The sequence below is a fragment of the Homo sapiens genome, chromosome X, assembly GCF_000001405.40.
Source record: "Homo sapiens chromosome X, GRCh38.p14 Primary Assembly".
Classification (NCBI taxonomy): domain Eukaryota; kingdom Metazoa; phylum Chordata; class Mammalia; order Primates; family Hominidae; genus Homo; species Homo sapiens.
In genome coordinates, this window is record NC_000023.11 from 96363048 (window position 1) to 96386465 (window position 23418).

A 23418-nucleotide genomic window follows, 5' to 3' on the forward strand; every position below is an offset into this window, starting at 1 on the left:
AGGAAAACTGAGTTGCTGCTGTTCCTTGCAATGTGAAGTTACCAACAAACACACCTAGACACAGGTCAGTAACCACCTAGTCATTGTTTATAGCCTCCTTATCACTGTGCACGTGCTATCTGTCAGAGAAGGAAGGACAGACACCACAATTCAAGTCAAGAGACCCAAGTTAGGTTGCTTTTGGCCACAAGTAACAGAAAACCCTGAATAAAACAGAACTTTAAAATAAAGTGTTTTCTATTTCTCCACATCCGTTCAACCATTGTGGAAGTCGGTGTGGCGATTCCTCAGGGATCTAGAACTAGAAATACCATTTGACCCAGCCATCCCATTACTGGGTATATACCCAAAGGATTATAAATCATGCTGCTATAAAGACACATGCACATGTATGTTTATTGCGGCACTATTCACAATAGCAAAGACTTGGAACTAACCCAAATGTCCAACAATGATAAACTGGATTAAGAAAATGTGGCACATATACACCATGGAATACTATGCAGCCATTAAAAAGGAAGAGTTCATGTCCTTTGTAGGGACATGGATGAAGCTGGAAACCATCATTCTCAGCAAACTAGCGCAAGGACAAAAAACCAAACACCGCATGTTCTCACTCGTAGGTGGGAATTGAACAATGAGAACACATGGACACAGGAAGGGGAACATCACACACCAGGGACTGTTGTGGGGTGGGGGGAGGGGGGAGGGATAGCATTAGGAGATATACCTAATGCTAAATGACAAGTTAATGGGTGCAGCACACTAACATGGCACATGTATACATATGTAACAAACCTGCATGTTGTGCACATGTACCCTAAAACTTTAAGTATAATAATAATAATAACAATAAATAAATAAATAAAATAAAATACAGTGTTTTAAATCTCACATACTGAGAAGTCCATAGGTAGGCCAGGCACTGGTTTGGTATGTCAAGGCTTTGTCTCTCCTTTTCTGTGTTTCCCTGGTCTCTGTCCTTCTCTGTCAGTAGACCTTCCCTTCAGGCTTGTAGCATGATGCTGGCAACAGTTCTGAGGAAAATGAAGAAACATTTCCCAGAAACCTTTCTGGAGTTGGGTCATGTACTTGTGCCTAAACCAATCAATCTTTGGCAAGGAGAACAGGACTACCAGGACCTCTCTTACATCAGTTAGGACCCATCCCCTATGGTCTGAAATGGGGTCAGCCCCATCAAGAAGAATTGATACCTGGACAAAATCTGGGCTCTGTTAGAAAGTGGAAGGATAGTAGGGAGCACATATTCGGTGAGCCATCACAGTATCTGTTCCAAGAGCTGATGCAATTTGGATACTTGTCCCCTCCATATCTCACACTGAAATGTGATCCCCAATGTTGGAGGTGGGGGCAGGTGGGAGTTGTTTGGGTTATGGAGGTGGATCCCCCATGAATGTCTTAGTGCTATCCTCATGATAATGAGTGAGTTCTAGCTCTATTAGTTCCCAGGAGATCACATTGTTAAAAAGATCCTGGCACCTCCCCTCTCTCCTCCTCCTCTTTCGCCATGTGATGCCTGCTCACCTTCGCCTTCTGTCATGGGTGGAAGCTTCATGAAGCCTTCACCAGAAGCAGATGTTGGTGCCATACTTCGTGTATATCCTGCAGAACCCTAAGATAAATAAATTCTTTTCTTTATAAATTACCCAGCCTCAGGTATTCCTTTACAGCAATGGAATTAGACATGAACTACATCACACCATACTTGAAAGCAAGAAGAAGATCAGTGGATATATTTTGTGAGTTTCTGAAGCACATAGCATTATCCCCTATTTTATTTCTACCTGTAACAACAAAGTTTCTGACAACAAAGTGTGTAATTAGAACACTTCTTCCTTGTTATTATGTTGGCAGTTTTCAAATCACAGTATATCAATTTCCAATGATCCAGCCACTGTTCCCATATTATCAACTTAAGGCATTTAAAGCTAATAACCCACTAACTAAATTATTAATCAATTATCAATTCAGTGCCTATATGCCAGTCACCATGTTAGGTGCTAAAGATAGAGAAGTAAACAAGGTACATTTCTTTTCCTCATACGTCTCAATCTGCTTGCAGAGGGGCCCATATCTTCACTCTCCTTGCTAGACAATATGAAAGAGGCTGATCCACCATGGCATCCCCAGAACCTAATGCATGGTTGATATACATTGATTGTTGAAAGGATGAGAAATACAAAGAAATAATAAGGTGAGTGGTGAGAATAAGGGACCAAGAGACTTCTGTTACTATAAAGTAATAAGACTGGTTTTATTGTGTTTTGTGTTGCTCATAAACTATCTCCAAAAGCAGTTTAATAGAGGTTTAAAAAACATTTGAACTATGGCAATATTATTTAAGTGATTATCTTGTCCCAGTGTGATTACTTTTAAGGAAAATACTCATTTAAATATAGAAGTTATGGCACATTTGTCACAAAAGAAGTATTGTTACATGATTGTACTCAAACCTTAAGATTGCTTCTAAAAAGAAAAACTAGTATCCTAGTGACAGTTGCAATCTACCACTAAATGACCACATGCAGAACTTGTACATAAGATGGAAAGGGTTTTTTTCTGTGGATTTGGGATCAAGTTCAGCCCTGTGTAACTTTAAGTATGGCCAAGCCAAGGCTTTGAGGTTTTCTGACAGTGAGAAGCAGGAACATGGTAAGGTATCAAAGGATGAAAATTTCAGTGCAAATCAAGGTTTGTTCATAAGGTCTGCCCTTGCATAACATCAGGATGTGAATGAAACGGCTAGTACTGATGAGATGGGAGCTCAACTTAGCCTTTCTGTTTGAAGGCAGCAGAGGAGAAAAGAAATTATTTGCTACATGGCAATTTGCATTAGCAAAAAAGCAGCGGCTTCTATGATTGTCTCCTAAGAAATTATCAAATGTCCCTAGGTAACCCCCAAAACACTTCTTTAAAAATGCCTATGAAAATCTCCCCTAGGCAGAATATCTGAATGAATCTATTCTAATGAAGATATTACTTCCAATTCTGATTTATTTTGTCATCAAAATAAAGTGGAAATTATAAAGAGTAAGCTGAGAACTATAATTGTATTACTAAACACAATTTTCTATATTATTCTTTTTTATTTTTCCATAAGTTATTGGAGTACAGGTGGTATTTGGTTACATGAGTAAGTTCTTTAGTGGTGATTTGTGAGATTTTGGTGCACCCATCACCTGAGTAGTATACAGTGAACCCTATTTGTAGTCTTTTATCCCTCGTCCCCCTCCCATCCTTTCCATCAAGTCCCCAAAGTCCATTGTATCATTCCTATGCCTTTGTGCCCTCATAGCTTAGCTCCCACATATCAGTGAGAACATACAATGTTTGATTTTCCATTCCTGAGTTCCTACACTTAGAATAGTCTCCAATCTCATCCAGGTTGCTGTGAATACCGTTAATTCATTCCTTTTTATGGCTGAGTAGTATTCCATCAGGTATATATACCGTAGTTTCTTTATCCACTCATTGATTGATGGGCATGTGGGTTGGTTCCACGTTTTTGCAACTGCGAATTGAGCTGCTATAAACATACGTGTGCAAGTATATTTTTCGTATAACAATTTCTTTTCCTCTGGGTAGATACCCAGTAGTGGGATTGCTGGATCAAATAGTAGTTCTACTTTTAGTTCTTTAAGGAATCTCCACATTGTTTTCCATAGTGGTTGTACTAGTTTACATTCCCACCAGCAGCGTAGAAGTGTTCCCTAATCACCACATCCATGCCAACATCTACTGCTTTTTGATTTTTTGATTATGGTCATTCTTGCAGGAGTAAGGTGGCATTGCGTTGTAGTTTTGATTTGCATTTCCCCGATCATTGGTGATGTTGAGCATTTTTTAATATGTTTGTTCGCCATTTGTATATCTTCTTTTGAGAATTGTCTACTCATGTCCTTAGCCCACTTTTTGATGGGATTGTTTGGGTTTTTTTACTGATTTGTTTGAGTTTGTTGTAGATTCTGGATATTAGTCCTTGGTCAGATGTATAGATTGTGAAGATTTCCTCCCTCTTTGTGGGTTGTCCATTTACTCTGCTGACTGTTCCTTTTCCCGTGCAAAAGCTCTTTAGTTTCATTAAGTCACAACTGTTTATCTTCGTTTTCATTGCATTTGCTTTTGAGTTCTTGGTAATAAAATCCTTACCTAAGCCCATGTCTAGAAGGTTTTTCCAGTGTTATCTCCTAGAATTTTTATCGTTTCAGGTCTTAGATTTAAGTTCTTATCCATTTGAATTGATTTTTGCGTAAGGTGAGAGATGAGGACCCAGTTTTATTCTCCTACATGTGGCTAGCCAATTTTCCCAGCACCATTTGTTGAAAAGGGTGTCCTTTCCCCACTTTATGGTTTTGCTTACTTTGTCAAAGATCAGTTGGCTGTAAGTATTTGGATTTATTTCTGGGTTCTCTATTCTGTTCCATTGGTCTATGTGCCTATTTTTATACCAGGTTACCATGCTGTTTTAGTGACTATGGCCTTATAGTACAGATTGAAATCAGGTAGTGTAATGCCTCCAGATTTGTTCTTTTTGCCTAGTCTTGCTTTGGCTATGCAGGCTCTTTTTGGGTTCCATATGAATTTTAAAATTGTTGATTAATCAATTTACATGCACTTTTTTAAAAAGTCTTTATAATATACAAGTTTATAATTTTAGTTAACGAAGTATGGTGTCTATGGTAATTTCCAAAAAGAGTGGGAACAGATTCTTGGTTAGGAAGGCCACATTATTTGATTGGAAACGTCAGTTTTAACTTAAATATTTTCGCTTACAGCATCATTTCTAGAATAAAATCTAACATATGCCCGGCAGTTTCTGTTTCATGTTTTGAAGTTAAAAATAAGTCTTTTAATATCTAAAACTTATGTAGTCATGCACTGCATAATGATGTTTTGTCAACATTGAATAATCTTATGGGACACTGGTCCCGTAAGATCATAATGGAGCTGGAAAATTCCTATCACCTGGTGACATTGTAGCTGTCCTAATGTCAAAGAGCAATGCATTACTCACATGTTTATGGTAGTGCTGGTGTAAACAAACCTAATGTACTGTCAGGCACATATAAGTGTGGCACATACAATTATGTATAGTACATAATACTTGATAACGATAAACAACTATGTTACTGGTTTATGTATTTACTATACTATACTTTTATCATTATTTTAGAGTGAATTCCTTTGACTTATTAAAATAAAAAGTTAACTGTAAAACAGCCACAGATCCTTCAGGAGGTATTTCAGAAGAAGGCATTGTTATCATAGGAGATATGATATTGCCCATGAAGACCTTCCAGTGGGACATGACATGGAGGGAAGACAGTGATATTGGTGATCCTGACCCTGTGCAGGCCTCGGCTACTGTGTTTGTGTCTTCATTTTTAACAAAGAGTTTTAAAAGTTTAAAAAAATTAAAATATTAAAAATAGGAAAAAAGCTGTTGGAATAAGGATATAAAGAAAGGTTTTTTTGTAAAGGTGTATGATGTATTTGTGTTTTAGGCTAGGTTTTATTACAAAAGAGTAAAAAAGTTGGCCAAGGGTGGTGGCTTATGCCTGTAATCCCAGCCCTTTGGGAGGCCAAGGCAGGCGAATCACCTGAGGTCAGGAGTTCAAGACCAGCCTGACCAATATGGAGAAACCCCATCTCTACTAAAAATACAAAAATTGGCCAGGCGTGGTGGCGGGTGCCTGTAATCCCAGCTACTTGGGAGGCTGAGACAGGAGAATCGCTTGAACCCAGGAGGTGGAGCTTGTGGTGAGCCGAGATGGTGCCATTGCACTCTAGCCTGGGCAAAAAGAGTGAAACTCCGTCTAAAAGAAAAAAAAAAGAGAGAGAGAGTAAAAAAGTTTACAAATATTTAAAGGTTATAAAGTAAAATAGCTGCAGTAAGCTGAGGTTAATTTATTATTGAAGAAAGAAAAATTTTTTGGAAATTTAGTGTATAGCCTAAGCATTTATAAAGTCTACGGTAGTGTACTGTAATGTCCTAAAGTCTACGGTAGTGTACAGTAATGTCCTAAAGTCTACGGTAGTGTACGGTAATGTCCTAAAGTCTACGGTAGTGTACGGTAATGTCCTGATGTCATCACATTCACTCACCACTCACTCACTGACTCACTCAGAGCAACTTCCAGTCCTGCAAGCTCCATTCTTGGTAAGTACCCTATACAGATGTACCATTTTTTATCTTTTACACAATATTTTTACTATACTTTTTCTATGTTTATATATACAAATCCTATTATCTTACAATTGTCTTCATTGTTCAGTATAGTAACATGCTGTACAGGTTTGCAGCCTAGGAGCAATAAACTACACCTATATCTAGGTATAGATATACACACTATACAACTATGCACACTAGGCTATATCTAGCCTAAGTGTGTAGTAGACTATACCATCTAAGTTTGTGTAAGTACACTGTTTGCACCACAACAAAATCACCTAACAATGCACTTCTCAGGGCATACATAACTCCATCATTAAATGACACATGGTCAAAAGCAAGAAAATAAATTTCTCTGAAAAAACTTGTTCTTATAACCAAATTGATTTAGTTGTATATTTTATACCTCTTCCTCTTCTGTCACCCTCTCCTTCCTCATTGTCATGCTATCTCTTCTCCACATCCCCACTTCTACCTCACTTAACAAGATATAAAACATCCCTGACCAATATGCTCTTTGGCATCACTGCCTGATTTATTATATCTTTTCTCCTTCTTCACTAACCCAACTGATTGAAGCCCCCTCTATTTAACAGTAGATAGCTCTATTTGATTGCAGTCCTCTCCATTAATGAGAAGGCATAGCATTCCCTAAATTATTTCTACCTTAATGAAAAAAAGGCTGAAGCATTTTGGCCCTAACTTTGAAAGTGAAAAGAGCTTCTGGAGTCTGGAATCAATGCCTTTCCGAGTGCCTCTTCCTTCCTTTTTGTCCTTCCTTTTCCTCACTCATACATTCAACAATTTTTTCATTGTTAAATATGCCAGGGGACTATTCAAGGCACCAGGACTACAACAATGAACATGACAGACAAAAATTCCTGCCTTCATGGAACTTACATTCTAGTTGGGGATACAAGCAATAACCAAGTTTAGAAAAAATAAAATATTTTATATTTTACATAGTAATGCATGCTAAAAAGAAAAAATAAAGCAGGGAAGGAGATATGAAGTGTGTGTGTGTGTGTGTGTGTGTGTCTGTTTGTGTGGGGGAGGGCGGGGGGGGCAGGTTGAAATTTCAAATAGGATGGTATACAAGGCCTCAATGTAAAGGTGACATGTGAAGAAACATCTGATGGAGGTGAGGAGAAAGTCAAGCAATTATTTTGGGAAGAGATTTCCAGAAAGAGGCAAGATCTAGTTAGGATACTTTTCTAAAGATAATTCCTTGCTCCACGGAAATTTGAGGGTTGTGACTGAGATAAACAGAAGTATTTATCCAGCAAGTAGTAAGATACTCCCCATCACCTGCAGTAACCTAGGCCTGTCCCAACTCCTCCCAGAGAAATCATAACTCCTTAAAGTCTGCATTAAAGGGAGTTGTCCTTGCCCCCAAAGACACTCATAGAGATAAGTACCAAGACCCTCTCTCTGTCATTCCATATTAGATCATTGTTTTCAGGTAGCATTTTTCAGCATGCAATTTACGCTATCACCTATAGGCTATGTGCTGTAGATAACTGTTAATTAGACAAAGACCCTAATCTTCCACTTGTCCAAAGATGGAGTAAGTATCCAGGCCAACAGGCTTGTTTTCTCTGAAAAGTACTAATTAAGTTGGGCCAGAAAGCTTCTCAACATACGAGAGAACCCAGTGACCCCTCAAACACAACTTGACAAAATGTTCAGGGCGTGATTGTAGCTTAGTCATTAACACAAACTAATAATAGCACATATACTTACATGTACTTTTTGTTAAAACTGTTGTCAACACACTGAAAAGTGTGTATATAAGAAAAATATCAGGTATCAATTGCAGATGAGCCTTGGGGTTAAAAATATGTGTCTAGAGAAGAGTAAAGAAATCAGTGGTTTATAAGTTTCCCTCACTCCCCCATTATTCTTAAAAAAGCTTTGTGATAGAAGAGATTTAGCCAATTTGAGGATTTTTTCCCTGAAAAAAATGCCACTTCTAGTTTTTCTTCTGCCAATTAAATTATTAAATTATTATCTTCTGCCAATAAATATGTGGGTATAATAATCTGTAACAAAATTTTTTAAATCGTTGATTGGTTTCCCAGCAACCACAGAACTTCCATCTCTAATTATCTCTTGGTAATCAAATGTGAAATCACTAGATTAAATGAAGAGGAGAACACATATTTAACTCCAGGGTAAATATAGCAACATACAATCAAATCCCACATAATTAATCTAAGAGTAGAAAATGAAATCATATACCTTGTCCAAGATCACATAAGAGATTCTGACAAAGCAGAATATACCTAGAAGAGTGAACATGAGGTTCCAGTTAACTGAGCCAACCATACATTGATAGTCTTTATCCTTACAGTATGACTTTATGTTTTATGTTTCCAGGTAGAGAGACAACAATCTTAACCGAGAAACACTTCTCTAATGAGGAGTACTGCACAGGTATAAACTGTATTGCTTCAAACCTATGTCATGGCTCAAAAAAGGTACCATACTGTATGCTCAAAGGCACTGAAATAAAATGAAAACACAAATATATTCCAAGTCACGTAGTTGCAGAGGGATGAAATGAAACCACTGCTGCACTAGTATGTGGATTAATGTTGTCTTTTGCTGTCAATTCCAGCAAACACTACATCAAATTTGTAGCTAGGGCTGATTCATGTTATAATGTTCACTCTCAGATCTTTGTCTCCAGAAAGCCTACTCCACAGTTTATGAAGCTGGATAGACAAGAGTTATGCATAACCTCAGAAAAGCTAAGGGGCATCACATTCACTGGTATGGATCAGTGGTCAAATAGTTAATTATTTTGCTCACAGCAAAGAAGGAAGATTTTTCCATTTGAAGATTTTTTTACCCTATATACAACAGATTTGGGGAATGTACTGTATACTGTGCATCAGTTGGTTTAAAAAAATTACTGCAATCAACCTCCTAAAAACAGACATTGCAAAGGCTTATTACATTATTTTTAATACTTCTAAAATTCTATAAGAGAACAGATACAGTTCAGTTAAAAACAAACTCAAAATCCTAGGAGTATGAATCATTAAACATGCATACATAATGCCCAGACATCCCCTGAAAACATTGGGATTAAAGAAAAGAGGCTATGGTTTCTATAGAGAAATGCAAAAATCAAAAACACTTTTATCTGAAGTACAGGCTACCAGAAGCATAGGCTTAAGGGATCCTAAAGCAGCATAAATCAGCCAGGCAGACTGAAACCAACTGACCTACCTGTCAGGACCAAAGCAGAAGGCACTGCCGAGATCTATGGGGGAAAGGGGGAAGTGCATGGGGCCAACAGCATGCCACAGTAAATGCACTGTCGTCCTGCTGCACTGCAATTGCAGAATGGAGCTCAGGAAGACGGAGAAAGATGTTTGCTGCTCATCCACTTAAATATTAAGAAGTAGCCAAATAGTTCTCATCTTAGCCCTATGCTTGGCTACCAAGGAATGCCGTGGTGTATATCAATACCCATGGGTTACATCTCCGAAAATAACCCCAGTTGCTTCTCACAGAGGCTGAATAGACCTTTTAGAAACTTTGGGCCCAGCTATAAACCTTAAAAAAGGTAAAAATTTAAACTATATATATTTCCTACAAAGGGTTTATGTTTCGTTTGGTGGTGGTTCCTGTTGTTTCTAGCAGTAATAACTCGGCTGCAGTAATCCTGCAGCCAAGAAATTTTGCAACCTTCCCACTAGGAGGAGCTACAGGAACACAAGGATCAAGATTTGAAATGCTAGGGCTCTGGTTGTCAGGCTATAGTTTATGAGAAAACTATTTTCCAATTTACTTCAAGTAAGCGCTGGTCAGAACTATTTTAGAGCCCCACAAATGCAATCCAACTAATTTCAACCAATACCGTTTAAGCACCTACTGTGAGCAAGGCTCATTGCTAGATGTAATGAGGGACATGAAGATAAGTGACCCACAATACCTGCTCTCAAGTAGCTCATAAATTAGTGGTGGGGAGAGGGGGAAGGAAGGACAGGTGGCTACAACATATTCAGAACTACCTGTATTACAGCATGGAGTGTGATAAACTGCACAATGACGAATCTGAAAATAAAGCGACATTGTATTGATAAGGAGGATAAATCATACTTGGGTTGGGGGAAAAGTAGGAATTAGGAAATAGTCTCATGGACACCCTCAGCACTGTGAGTGATGGGAAGCATGCAAGTGCTTATTATATAATCTCAGAAATAGAAACCATTCAAGAGTTTAGGACCTTCTTTTGCTAGGTGGTTTCCGAATGCCCAAAAATAAAACAGATGGTCTCTGCCAATGATAGAAAGTTTCCATATGGCAGGTGCTTGGCTCCAGTGGATGCCTTGAGAGGAGGCCCATTGCCCCACACATTGTGTCCTCCACAATGAAATAGAGAAAACCATGACTTATATGACTATGATGTTTAATTGTATGTGTCATCTTGGAAGGTGTTTCTGAATCAAGTTAACATTTAAATCAGTGAACTGTGCATAAAGCAGACTGATCCTTGTAATGTGGGTGGGCCTCTTCCAATCCGTTGAAGGCCTCAATAGAACAAAAAGACTGGCCTGCCCAAACAAGAATGAATTATCCAGCACACTGCTTTCAGATTTTATGTGCACCATCAGCTTTCCTGGGTCTCTAGGCTGCCAGCCTTCCTACTGGAACTGGAATATCAGCTCTCCTAGGTCTCAATCCAGCTGGCCCACACTCTAAATTTTAGGCTTGCCATCCTCCATAATCATGTGAGTTAATTCTTTTCCTAATAGGATGTGTATGCATATAGAAAAAAATTTTTCTATATGCATACATATCCTAAGGAAAAGAATCTTATTGTCTCTGTTTCTCTGGAGAATCTTGACTAATACAAAGACTTTCTGGCATGCAGCTCATATTTGTGTATAAGAGTATTATATGATAATAAAGTATAGTAACTACAGTCTCTCATCATATGTGGTTCTTACTATGAAACCAGCTAAACAGAAATATTTCTCTGTTGATCTTAGTCCCCCAAGAGTGGAAGAGTATATCTTGGACCACAAGTCAGCCACATTGCCCCTCTGTCCCTCTTCCTGCCCAAACATTCATCTCCCCTTTATATATGGGCAAAGGACTACCCTTGCAGAGGGTTAATGTCAAAGATCTCATCTGTCCTTCTTGCAATTTTCCAAGAAATGTGGCTACCATATAACATATAGGTCCTCTTTTCAATAATGAAAATGCTTCTTTATGAAAAAAGCCTGCATTTTCTCTTGCATTGTCCTGGATATGCAAAATAAATAGATGCAATAAGTCAATTCACTAAATTTAGGCATTTTGTGACATATTCATTTTGTGGGCATGTGAAAGAATGTGTATATTTCATGCAGAGAAGAACAAGACATGAAGAAGCAGTAGGAATGGCGATTGTGGATGTGGCTCTAGAGTCGCATAGCCATGAGGACCATTGCCTTCTTTAAAAGTTATCTCTGGCTTCTTCTTCCTATTTTTCTAACCATTTTGTCAAGGTAGAATTGACATATAAAAAGCTGTACATATTTAATGTCTACATCTCAATGAATTTGGGGACAAATATATACCCATGGAACTATCACCACCATCAAGACCATAAAAATATTCATTATCTCCAAGTTTCCTCCCTGCTCCTTTATTATTATTGTGCTGTGGAGTTTTTCATTTGTTTGGGGAGGTTTTCTTCTGGTAAGATCACTAAGATCTATCCTCTTAGCAAATTTTAAATATACAATATAGTACTGTCAGCTACAGGCACTATGCCGTATAGTAGATCTCCAGAATTTATTTATCTTGCATAACTGAAACCTTTAACCATCCACTGGAGAATAAGGTCCTGCTCCTTCCCTCAGGTGCCTTCTCTGTGCTGTACCATGTTTCTCAAAGTGTGAAATATAGGTAGATACCTCAGACCACAAAAGCTCCAAGGTTCCAGGGCTCAAACTCAGATCTACTGAATCTGAATCTTGAAGCATGGGCCCCAAGAATCTACATTTTTTAACATACCACTCACATACATTTAATGCACCCTGCACCCTAAAGGTTGTTCATCACTACCCTAGCCCACAGGCAGACTTACCATGAAACTAATGAAGCTTTAGGTCCCCCAACTTGCCCAGGTCCCTTCTAAGAATCTTCACTAATTTTTTATTGGTAAATGTTTATTTTTTTTATTTTTATTTTTTTTGAGACGGAGTCTCGCTCCGTCGCCCAGCCTGGGGTACAGTGGCCCGATCTCGGCTCACTGCAAGCTCCGCCTCCCGGGTTCACACCATTCTCCTGCCTCACCCTCCCGAGTAGCTGGGACTACAGGCCCCTGCTACCATGCCTGGATAATTTTTTGTATTTTTGGTAGAGGCGGGGTTTCACCGTGTTAGCCAGGATGGTCTCGCTCTCCTGACCTCATGATCCACCTGCCTCAGCCTCCCAAAGTGCTGGGATTACAGGCGTGAGCCACCGCGCCTGGCCAATGTTTATTCTTTTTTTAAAGATCCCTTCTCTAAAGTGTTTAAGTATTAGGTACCACAATACCTGGATGCACCCCTGCTTTGGGCCATATTTGCAAAGCAAGTCAAACTCAAATTAGTTAAATTATTAGATGATAAAAAACCTTATTATGCCCCTCTCCTTGGGGCATTTGCATTTTAGCAAACATCTTTTGAGAAACTGAAATCTACAAGATTCAAAGGTATAATAAATTCCCCAACAGAGGAAATTCTGGTACTATGCCCAGCATTGGAAAGAGTAGAGGCCCTTACTAGCACACCTCAAATCAAACTGGGGTTGCAGCAGACCTTTTGCCTTCTTTAGAGGCTGGAAATAGACCCTCAAATCCAGAACCTATTCAAGGCAGTTCATTAATATGAAGCTATTTGTGCCTGCTACCCCTTCTTCCATCCTGCAAAATACTAAGGAAGCAATGTGGAGACAGGCTTAATGAAATTATATTCTCAACTGGTAAGTCTGCCTGCAGCCAACTATGACTTTCTTAGAAAAGAAAAGTAGAAGCCATCTCTAGCAGTATAAATTAGCTGGATGAGAGGGTGACCTGTGTTCTGAACAGATGTCTCAGCTTACCAAGGCTGACATTAACTCAGACAACTGAAACATACCACCTCACAAGTTAAACTCTTAATTAAGAGGAATTTTGTCCTTGAAAGGTTAACAGAGGGAAGAGAAGAAGGCTGTGACATTTGTAAACTCTCATCGGGAAAAGGACCTCCAGACCTATTGGTGTGAGTGATGTAAACAGGACCGTTAGACAGTGCATTTATGTAAACATAAGATTTTCTTTGTACTGAAAAAAATGCTATTACTGAGAGAGAACTGAATACAAAAGGAAAATTTGGGGATTGAAAATAACATTTGTGGTACTTCAAGGAAATGATTTAATTTGACTTTAAAAAGAGAATTGTATGGAAACTCACTGCTATTACTTAGGTTTTGTTTGAAATTAGATTTGGGTTTCTATTTGCACTGACAGCATACCATGGTGACCAGGGTGACAAAAAGGTGTCCTTTCCACTCTGGCCACCATCTTAGCACCCTAATATCTAAGATTTGCTAAAATGGCTCAAATCCAACCATCTCCATTTTAATATGATTATTGATGCATCTTAATCACTTCGCAGACCTTAACAAATTAAGTTACATTATTTTTGCTTTGTGTGTTACAAAACACATCCACTTTTCCATATTCAAAAATAATATGACTGCACAGTTAACAGAACTTTTGTTTTAAATTTTATTTCTATTACGGCAGCATTCTCCATTCAAACTGTGTTCCATGGATCAAGTGTCTGGCATGATATTGTTATTTTCTTTTTCTTTAGAGACAGGGTCTTGCTCTGTTACCCAGGCTGGAGTGCAAAGAAGTGGTCATAGCTCACTGCAGCCTCCAACTCATGGGCTTAAGCGATCTTCCCAAATTAGCCTCCTGAGTAGTTGGGACTACAGGCATGCGCCACCATGCCTGACCTTTTTTTTTGGCGGGGGAGGGGAGAGAAAGGGTCTCACTATGTCGCCCAGGCTTGTCTGGGACTCCTGGCCTTAAGCAACCCTCCTGCCTCGGCCTCCCAAAGCCTTGGGATTACAGACGTGATGGCTCACGCCTGGCCTGGCAAGATATTATTAATAGAAAACCACTCTACCACATATTTACAAACATTCAAAGAGTCAATGATCAAATAAATTTGGAAAAGAGAGCATAATCTATCTCCATCTAGGAGAGTCACATTTCATATTAGCACATGAAATACTATGATAACTTTTGTAGCAAAGAAATCTATTTAACTTCACGTAACATAGGCCTTCTTGCTCTAAAGTCCCATTTACTAACTTCTCCAGGTTTGCCCCTCGGCATTTGGATGGTTTGGTATTCATGCCTTGGCACAACATATACAGCCATGGTAGAGCTGTGCTCCTAAGTCCTACTCCAGCCTTATGGAGCTCATCTGAGCTTTCCCCAGCTTCCACGCCAGGGAAGAAGGATCAGAGAACTGATCACTCATTTACATAGAATCTCCCTATGCCCAACCTCACATAGCCACATGACAGCTGGATGCAGTTGTTTAAACAGCCTGTAGATAGAAAACAGATTGTTTCTCTGTGGGAAAGAAAACCCATAGGAGACAGTGTAAGAAAAGGTAAACTGTTTAATTTGTGTTATAAAAACTATATAAAATGCAGGTTTGAGATTTATGGACAGATCAGGTGATGGATTTGGTAGTTTAAACACCCATTATCGTGCTTCCTATGATAGAACCAAACCAACATTATGGCTTTATGTTATAAAAAACTGAACAAACTAACCTTCCAGTTTCTAAACAGAGCTGAGAAGTATACTGTGGGAGACCAAATGGAAAACACTGCATGGTAAGCCAATTAGCCCTTCACCATTTATTAAAAACAAACAGCCAGTTCTGGATTAATTTCAAAAGTAGATGAATAAAAAGCAGTATCATACTTACTCCTGTTGTTACTTTAGACTTTTTCAAACTCAACTCTTGAACAGTTGGCTCAATAGTCCTGATATTGATTCTATCCTTTGACTTGGTGTTTGTGTGTGCTTTTCTAAATGTTTTAACTCCAACTTATTCTCTACGGAATTTTACTCGGCTCTCCATCCCTGCTTTTTTAAACTCATTTTAATGAGTTGGACAGGAAATGCCCTGCTTCATCTCAAAACACACAGTACCCAACCCTCACATTTCCCATTAATCAGTGGCCATCTGGGCCAGCCCTCTCCCATAACAAACTTCAAAGGAGAAACAAAAGGAGGGTGGCCAAAAACATTATACCATACTACTACCATTTTGGTAATAGCCCACCTAAAATGACAGGGTCAGATTTGGAGAGCAGAATCCCATGAACCACTTTGGGAATTAAATCAGCAAAAGCAATCAAGTGGCAATTAAGTGGTATCAAGCTCTAACCCAAGAGCTCCCAATCTCTGTACCATAGATGCCTGAGAGACTAATCAGTTCTTACAAAGATTTTGCCAATCCATATATATAGGAATCTGCTAGCTGAATAATAATATGTGCTACTATTGTTGAATATATGCAGGTGCTTTTATGGTTATTAATGAAATGTAAATTCATTAAAATAACACTGAATTAATAGAAGATATATGACATCATAACAGAAAAACAGAAAAGGAAAGCTATTTTCTTGGTGGCAAGGGTAAATGGGGAGTTGTTCCAAGAAGTATTTTGATACATACAAGAAATCTTCATCCTTGAAAATGTTGGGAACAGCTACTCTAATCTATTGAGATAATGGCAAAAGTCAACTATTTAACAAATGCATTATCTGATAGATTTGTAGACAATATATTATACAAAATGTGACAAAATGCACTTTAGTCTTAGTGTAATAAAAAAGATAAGAAGCAAAATACAATTTTGTTTTAAAGAAACTGTGGACATAAGGCCCCTAGGAAATGCATGGTAAAAATTGTTAAAAGCCTTCTGCAATTGCATAATCAAAAATCATTTCAAAGAACAAATGTATTCAAATTACTATGACAACCCAAATGCTACGTTTGTAATTTAGGCAAGTAAAATCGATACATTTTCTAATTAATACCTTCCAAATACTATTTATCCGTATAAATGTCATTCATATGGAACTACTCAATTTCCATTCTTAGTTTTTGAGAACTCCACTATATTTTCTGATTATTCCAAAGACTTTCTCATTAATCTTGTCTCTTATGATTTATTATACATTTCTTTCTTGGCATGAGGCCAACCACAATTGCAATGGTTAACTTATATAGAAACTTATAAATATCTGATTCTAGATTTCTATTTCAAACTCTGTCTTTCCTAGGTCTGGCTTCTTTTAATGAAAAACTAAAGAGAAATGGGGGAAAGCTTGAATCTACAAAGTGAATAAACAAGGAAATTTTAAAAAGATAGAAGTGAAAAACTGCAAAGGAATAGAGAAACTGTCAGAAGAATAAATCACAATATGTGGAATATGTGGAAGACCTTTGGACTCTACGGTTTCATACACACACAAACACACACACCACACACATACACAAAAGCACACGTACTTCAGTATAAGGGAGGAGAGGCCAAAAAACAAAAGGAACTTGTATATGAGTAAGGACTTTTAAGTATGCATATAAAGTATGCATATATTGTGGCCACCATTGTAATTCATATGATACGTGAAGGTTAAATAGTGGAGTGTAGCTTTCTGAAATGTATCTTACTTGAAAACAAGTTTCCTAATATATTTCATCAAAACACACTTTAGACTCACATGAAAATCTTAGCTCTATATGAAAGCAATCTATAACAGGTACTCCACTAGAAGGCAATCCAGTTATTTTTCTTCTAGCTACGTGTTTTCCTTCCTGCTGAACCTTTATTGTTAAAGAGAATTCAGGCCAAAAAATAGTTTGTGAAAAAAAAAGGAAGCCAACTGGTTTTGTAAGCTATAAAGGTTAAAATGCTTCTATGAAACATTTCCCCTAGAAGCTTTGTAAGCAACACTTTTCTCCAAAATTTTATGACAGCTGGTACAGCATGAAACCATATGCCTTTTTATATCTCCTAAATAAAAATGACTAATTTGACTTATTAGCACTGATTCTCTGGAGACAGAGCTAAGAGAGTTCCCGCAGATTTATCTGGTTCTTATTATATTTTAACAATGTCTGCTTTTACTGCAGAAACAATTATGCTAGCCATCTGTTTGCAAATATTTGTGAAGTAAATGATGAACTTTACCTTTATGCACTTTGGATAGCTTTAAAAAATAGAATATGTTGGGTGATTCACATCACAAAACTCTTCAGAGTTATATGATATTACCTATGAGAGAAAGAAGATGACATACCCAGAGTGGATTTCAAGTAATAAAATCACCAAATGTTAGAGTTAGAAGGACCCTCAGAGACCTCTACTGTCTAACTCTTGTTTTAAAGCTAAAATTCTATGGTCCAAAGAGGTTAAACAACTTGACCATAGTCACAAGGCTATTTGCCAACAGAGATAAAACTAAAAGAGAAGTTTTCTGACATATCCAGTATTATTTGCATTAACCCCATCCTCCCACTGAGAGCCCTTTCTCTCTAGAGAGACACAACTGTGGAACTACAGCAAATAATGCCCAGAAATTTAAATCAGGATTGAAAGTTCCTTAAGAAATTCAAGATTCTAACTTGCATAGCACTGGCATATTGAGAGAGGGCCTGATCAGAGGTGACTGCTCACCAGATATTCTAAGCAAGAAGTACACTACAGAATAGACCCTGTCTATCATGAGAATCTGGTGTCATTTCTCTTCAGCCAAAGACTACCAAGAACATACCTGTAGCTGAATAAATTGAGCCCATTATTTGTTGCAGTGAGAAAGAACATACATCAAGGGAACCATGGGCATCTCAGAAAGAAGGCATTAGAAAGAATCTATTAAAGAACTTGGGATTAGGCTGCATAATTTTGGGCAGGGTCTAAGGAAAAAGAAGTTCTCTCTAGATGGGATGCTATCAGAAAGTGGGGTCGAGTCTATGATTGCGTATTGTATTAGTCCATTTTCACGCTGCTGATAAAGACCTACCCAAGACTTGGCAATTAACAAAAGAAAGAAGTTTAATGGACTTACAGTTCCACGTGGCTGGGGAGGCCTCACAATCATGGCGGAAGGCAAGGAGGAGCAAGTCACATCTTAAATGGATGGTATCAGGCAAAAAAGAGAGAAACTGTGCAGAGGAACTCCTCTTTATAAAACCATCGGATCTTGTGAGACTTATTCACTATCACGAGAACAGCACGAGAAAGACTTGCCCCCATGACTCAATTTTCTCCCACCGAGTCCCTCCCACAACACATGGGAATTCAAGATGAGATTTGGGTGGGGACACAGCCCAACTATATCAGGTATCTCAGTGAATTGTATCTATAGGGAGGGAAGATTCGATGAAGTTAAAGCTACAATTGGTAAACAAGTAACAATCACTTATTTTAGTTGAGATTGAAGGAGGCATTGGTGTTGAATGGTTTGTACAGTGACCTTGTTTTTGTCTCACTCCATCATAGTTTCAGAGTGATCTTGTCTGGTGTTGATGTTCTGTGATGTTCTCCTGTTAGCCTAGTTGTATGTAACAGTCCAGCCTGCAGTAATATAAATAAGACCTAGTTGTGAGCATCAGACCAGCTCCTGGATATCATGGGCTACGTTTTAAAGATTTTTCAATGTGTATTCAGTGGATGGGGCAGATGAACAGATCTGATTCCTCAGTGCCAATTTTGCCTAGCCCTCAAATGGAATGCCTAAGTCACTGTAAAGAAAGATTGGAAATCCTCTTTTACAAAATCAAACAACCAGATCAAAACAGCACAAATCAGCACTTACTATCTACTCATACCATAATAACTGTAAATTGGAAAGCAAAATGAATTTGACACCTGGAAGTTTGAATCCTGACACTGTTTCTTGATAACTATGAGACTTGATAGATATGTCACTCTGACACTCTCAAAGCCACAAGGATTGAATAAGATAATATAATTTGTCTCAAGAGACTCACAATCATGCCATCTCAAACTGTTGTCTCTTTCTCAGTTTTTAGTCCTAAGAAACATTTCCTTCTACAAGCCTTCCTATAACCAGGGAGCATTTACCTACAAGCACTTCATGGGCCTTGATTACTTAATGTCCTATCTTGACTTCTAACATCAAGTAGTTGGATTAACCTTTTTAGACATAGTAACAGTTTATCTTTGCTTCAGGTTCACACTGACATAATTCCAACTGACACAATTAAAAGAATGATTGATTAATAGAAAAAGTTTATAGGTGGGGAGAATGGTATGAACAGATAAGACCAGAATTGGCAATTATGTATGGGAAAGTTGAAGGTAAGATATTCAAGCTTACTTAGCTTATTCTAAAAATACTGATCAAGAATAAAGTGAAATTTAATAGCATTGACAAATGAAACATGATATTTATCATTAAAGTCAACACTTCAAAATTTCTATGACCTATAAAGCTTTTTTTTTTTTTTCTTGTGACAGAGTTTCACTCTTGTCACCCAGGCTGGAGTGCAATGGCACAGTCTCGACTCACTGCAACCTCCGCCTGCCGGGTTCAAATGATTCTCCTGCCTCAGCCTCCTGAGTAGCTGGGATCACAGATGCCCACCACCACGCCCAACTAATGTTTGTATTTTCAGTAGAAATGGGGTTTCACCATGTTGGCCAGGCTGGTCTCGAACTCCTGACCTCAGGGGATCGACCCACCTCAGCAAAGTGCTGGGATTACAGGCATGAGCCACCACACCCAGCCTATAAAGCTCTTTTTGATTAGATGTAAATTAGTTCTCTGACTGAATTAACAAAAGGAAGAAGGAGGAGAAGGAAAGGAGGTAGCAATAATCACAGAAGTGAATAACACACAGGCAAAGAGTACGTTTCAAGTTCTTAGAATTTTAAAACCTTTTTTACAGAAGGTTTTGAAGAAGCCTCCAGCCAGAAAGCAGAAGGGAATTGGCATTTCTGGCAACAATTACTCAAAACATAGGAACAGTCACTAACCTCTTGGATTGCCTTTGATCATTTGGATACCTTGAGGCTCAGGGGAAATTTGAAAGTTTCACAAATATCTCTTGACATTTTTACTTAGTGGAGTCTTGTTTACCTTTCTAATAAGATTGCAAGGTTTCTAATATGTAGCACTGACGATTCTTCCCAAGTTGTTTAACTATTAGTATCCTTAAACCTCAGTTATCCATTCACACAGTTGAGTGAGATGGCGAGATACATAACACAAAATGTCAATCTCCTGCAGAAAATTCTGTTAGCATTGCAACTCCAAGTTCCTGAGGTGCACACATCAATAGAACATGAGAGGCATGGACCTGGAACAGTTTGAGAGAAATTCTGTTAAATGAGGGCACTGGAGTTGCTCTGCAAGGACCATTCTGGCTCTCACATTATTTGACTTAATAACTACTTCAATGGGATATAAAGCAGAAAAAGAAACAAATGTCAAGAAAAATAAAATGTCAAGAGCCTCATTAGCTCAGTTGGCTAGAAACAAGTGCTAATGACCCTAGAGCATAAGGTCACGGATGTGATTGTTTCCTGGGCTAGTTGGCTGCCACATACCTTCCTTATACCTCTGCCTAGCACTCGCACAGATCCTTCCTAGTGGTCATGGGGGAACAGCATCGATGAATCAGTATAATAAATCCCCACAATAAGAAATAGGGCAGAAATCTGCATTATCCAGATCATTATGGGGCATGTTTACTAAAGACCTGACTGTCCTTCAGATTAAAGAAACAGAATACAAAATAACAGTACTCACTAACTCATCTCCAGGCCCATGGGATGTTGAATGCACATAACCAGGATACTCTCATAGCCACGGATATCTGGGCAACTCTGCTCACACCAGTTGAATTGTATGTCTACCAAAGATCAGTGTGATTATTCACAAGTCTATTGATGCTAGTTATACCTTGTATATTACATAACATGGTAATGGTGAAGGACAAGTGCAAAGGGAAAAACAGACTCATTTCCAGGAAAAAAAAAATTGCAACTGATTAAAGGACAGCTACTGAAAAAAAAAATAAAAAAGCTATCAAATTGTGGATGAAACAACTATAAATGATTGGTTAAGGGTGGGAATCACAAACATTCAGAAGGACTCCATACCCAAATTGTATAACAAGTCCTGTTAAATTGGTGGTCTACTTCAAAGAAACCAAAACTGGAAATCATAGAGGATGCATTATATTGTGGTTTCTGAAAGAAAAAATACCAGTGGTATACCGGTTACAAGAGCCAATTATTAAATTTTCAGGAATTGTGTGAGTCTGTTATTAAATATTGCCATTATTAATAATTAAATGATACAAACTTGTTATATTAAAAATAAAAGTACTAAATACAGAAGATTCATCACTTCCTAAATATTTTACTGCATTTTACAGTTATCTATGTTCTTGAGGTTATTTACCTTTATTCTGTCTGTATAAGTGGAAATACTGTATAATGGTGTGCTGCTACACACTTCAACTCTACATTAAGTGCTATGTTGGTAGCTTAAAAGTGGCCATGGTGAGAGTATTTACACCACTGGAATCATGAAACACAATAAACAGGGCCATTTTTTTCCAGAAAGTTGGTTGTTAGACATTTATCAGCAGATCACTAAACAACAGTGAAATCAAGTAAATGAGACCATACTCAAAGAAAAATTCTTAACCCTACAGCAGAAGGCTGGCAAATGCACACATGTATTTGGAAGTCTTGAGTTAAAATAAAAGTGCCTTAAGATATGTATATATTTTTAATGTCCTCTACTTTAATATTTTCAATTAATCTACAACTATTGGTCCTGATTCAGATGAGGGCTTCCCCCAGAGATACTAAAAAAGTAGAACAAATTTGTACAACCTTTTGGAAAGTAGTTTGACAACATTTATTGAGAAATTTGAAAGTCCATACCTCTTCACCCAGAAACTTCACTTCTATTACTTTATGTTAAGAAAATCATAATTGATGTAGTCCAATATGTATAAATATGTTCATTATATTGTTTAAAATAACAATACATACATACATACATAACCTAAATGTTCAACGTAGGAAAATGATTAAGTCATAATACATCTATATAATAGAATACAATACAATGAGTAAAATCACGTTTCAAAGAATGTTTAATGACTAAGAAGAAATTCACCAAATATTAATGGTGGTTATCACTGCATGGTTGGACTTAAATTGATTCCATGTTTTACACAAGTAATGCATATGCATTATTGAAATGTCATAAAAATAGAGATAAATAAAAATAAGAAAATAACAATCATCCATAATTCCACAACACAAATATAACTGTTTTAGCTTTTGTTGTTTATCCTTGCAGATTTCTTATCTTGTGTGCTCATACACACACACATACACACACACACACACACATTTTCAACCAAAATGGCATTATAAGGTGCATATTATTTTGTAACTATTTTTTTCATATAAGTTTTGAAATCCCCATGGAAAATTTTTACCTTATTTTCATATATCCAATTTTAAAAATAATGACCATAAAATAGGTTCTCTCCAAAGACAGTCCCCAATAAACTATGCCTGTGGATGTTGGCAGCTACCCTAATGGAGAAACTATGTGAAGAGGTCATGTAGGTGGAAAGAGGCCTTAATATTATATGGATAGAAGGAAGGCCCAGCCTTTTCAGCATCCTCGCTGGGCCCAACCTTTCAGCAGTGCCCACCATGGCACGTAAGTGAAGACATCTTGGATTCTCTAAACCAATCAAACCCTTAGATGACTGCAATCCCAGCCAACACTACATGGAGGAGAAGACCCATTCATCTGAGGCCAAGTCATCCAAAAAGAGATGATAGATAATAAAATGTTGCTGTTTAAGATGCTAAGTTTTGGAGGTTTGTTTAGCAGCAATAAATAACCAAAACAGAACATGCATTTTTCATATAATATGGAAAAACAATATTATTTTTAAAGATATTATAACACATGTCTGTACTTTTGCATATACAGACACATATACATACATACATATGGCTTATTTCCTGCCTGAATAAATAGTTGCTGTTGTCCAGTACATACTCTATTCTGTACGATGTGTACCTAATTTCACTATTCAGATTCATTCTGTGTATAGGAAAGAAAAATTGCTGACATTGTAAATTATTTAT

At 37.7% G+C, this 23418-nt stretch overlaps 1 long non-coding RNA gene across 1 annotated transcript in view; it reads right to left on the minus strand.

Annotated features, from left to right (window-relative positions):
- Positions 1–378: 378 nt before the first annotated feature.
- Positions 379–23418, minus strand: part of LOC105373294 (uncharacterized) — a 28332-nt gene continuing 5292 nt past the window's right edge. Inside the window, exons 2-3 of the long non-coding RNA XR_938466.3 lie at positions 1546–1633; positions 379–1037 (exon numbers count right to left, since the gene is read on the minus strand). This is a non-coding gene — a long non-coding RNA (uncharacterized LOC105373294). The remainder of the gene's footprint in view (positions 1038–1545; positions 1634–23418) is intronic.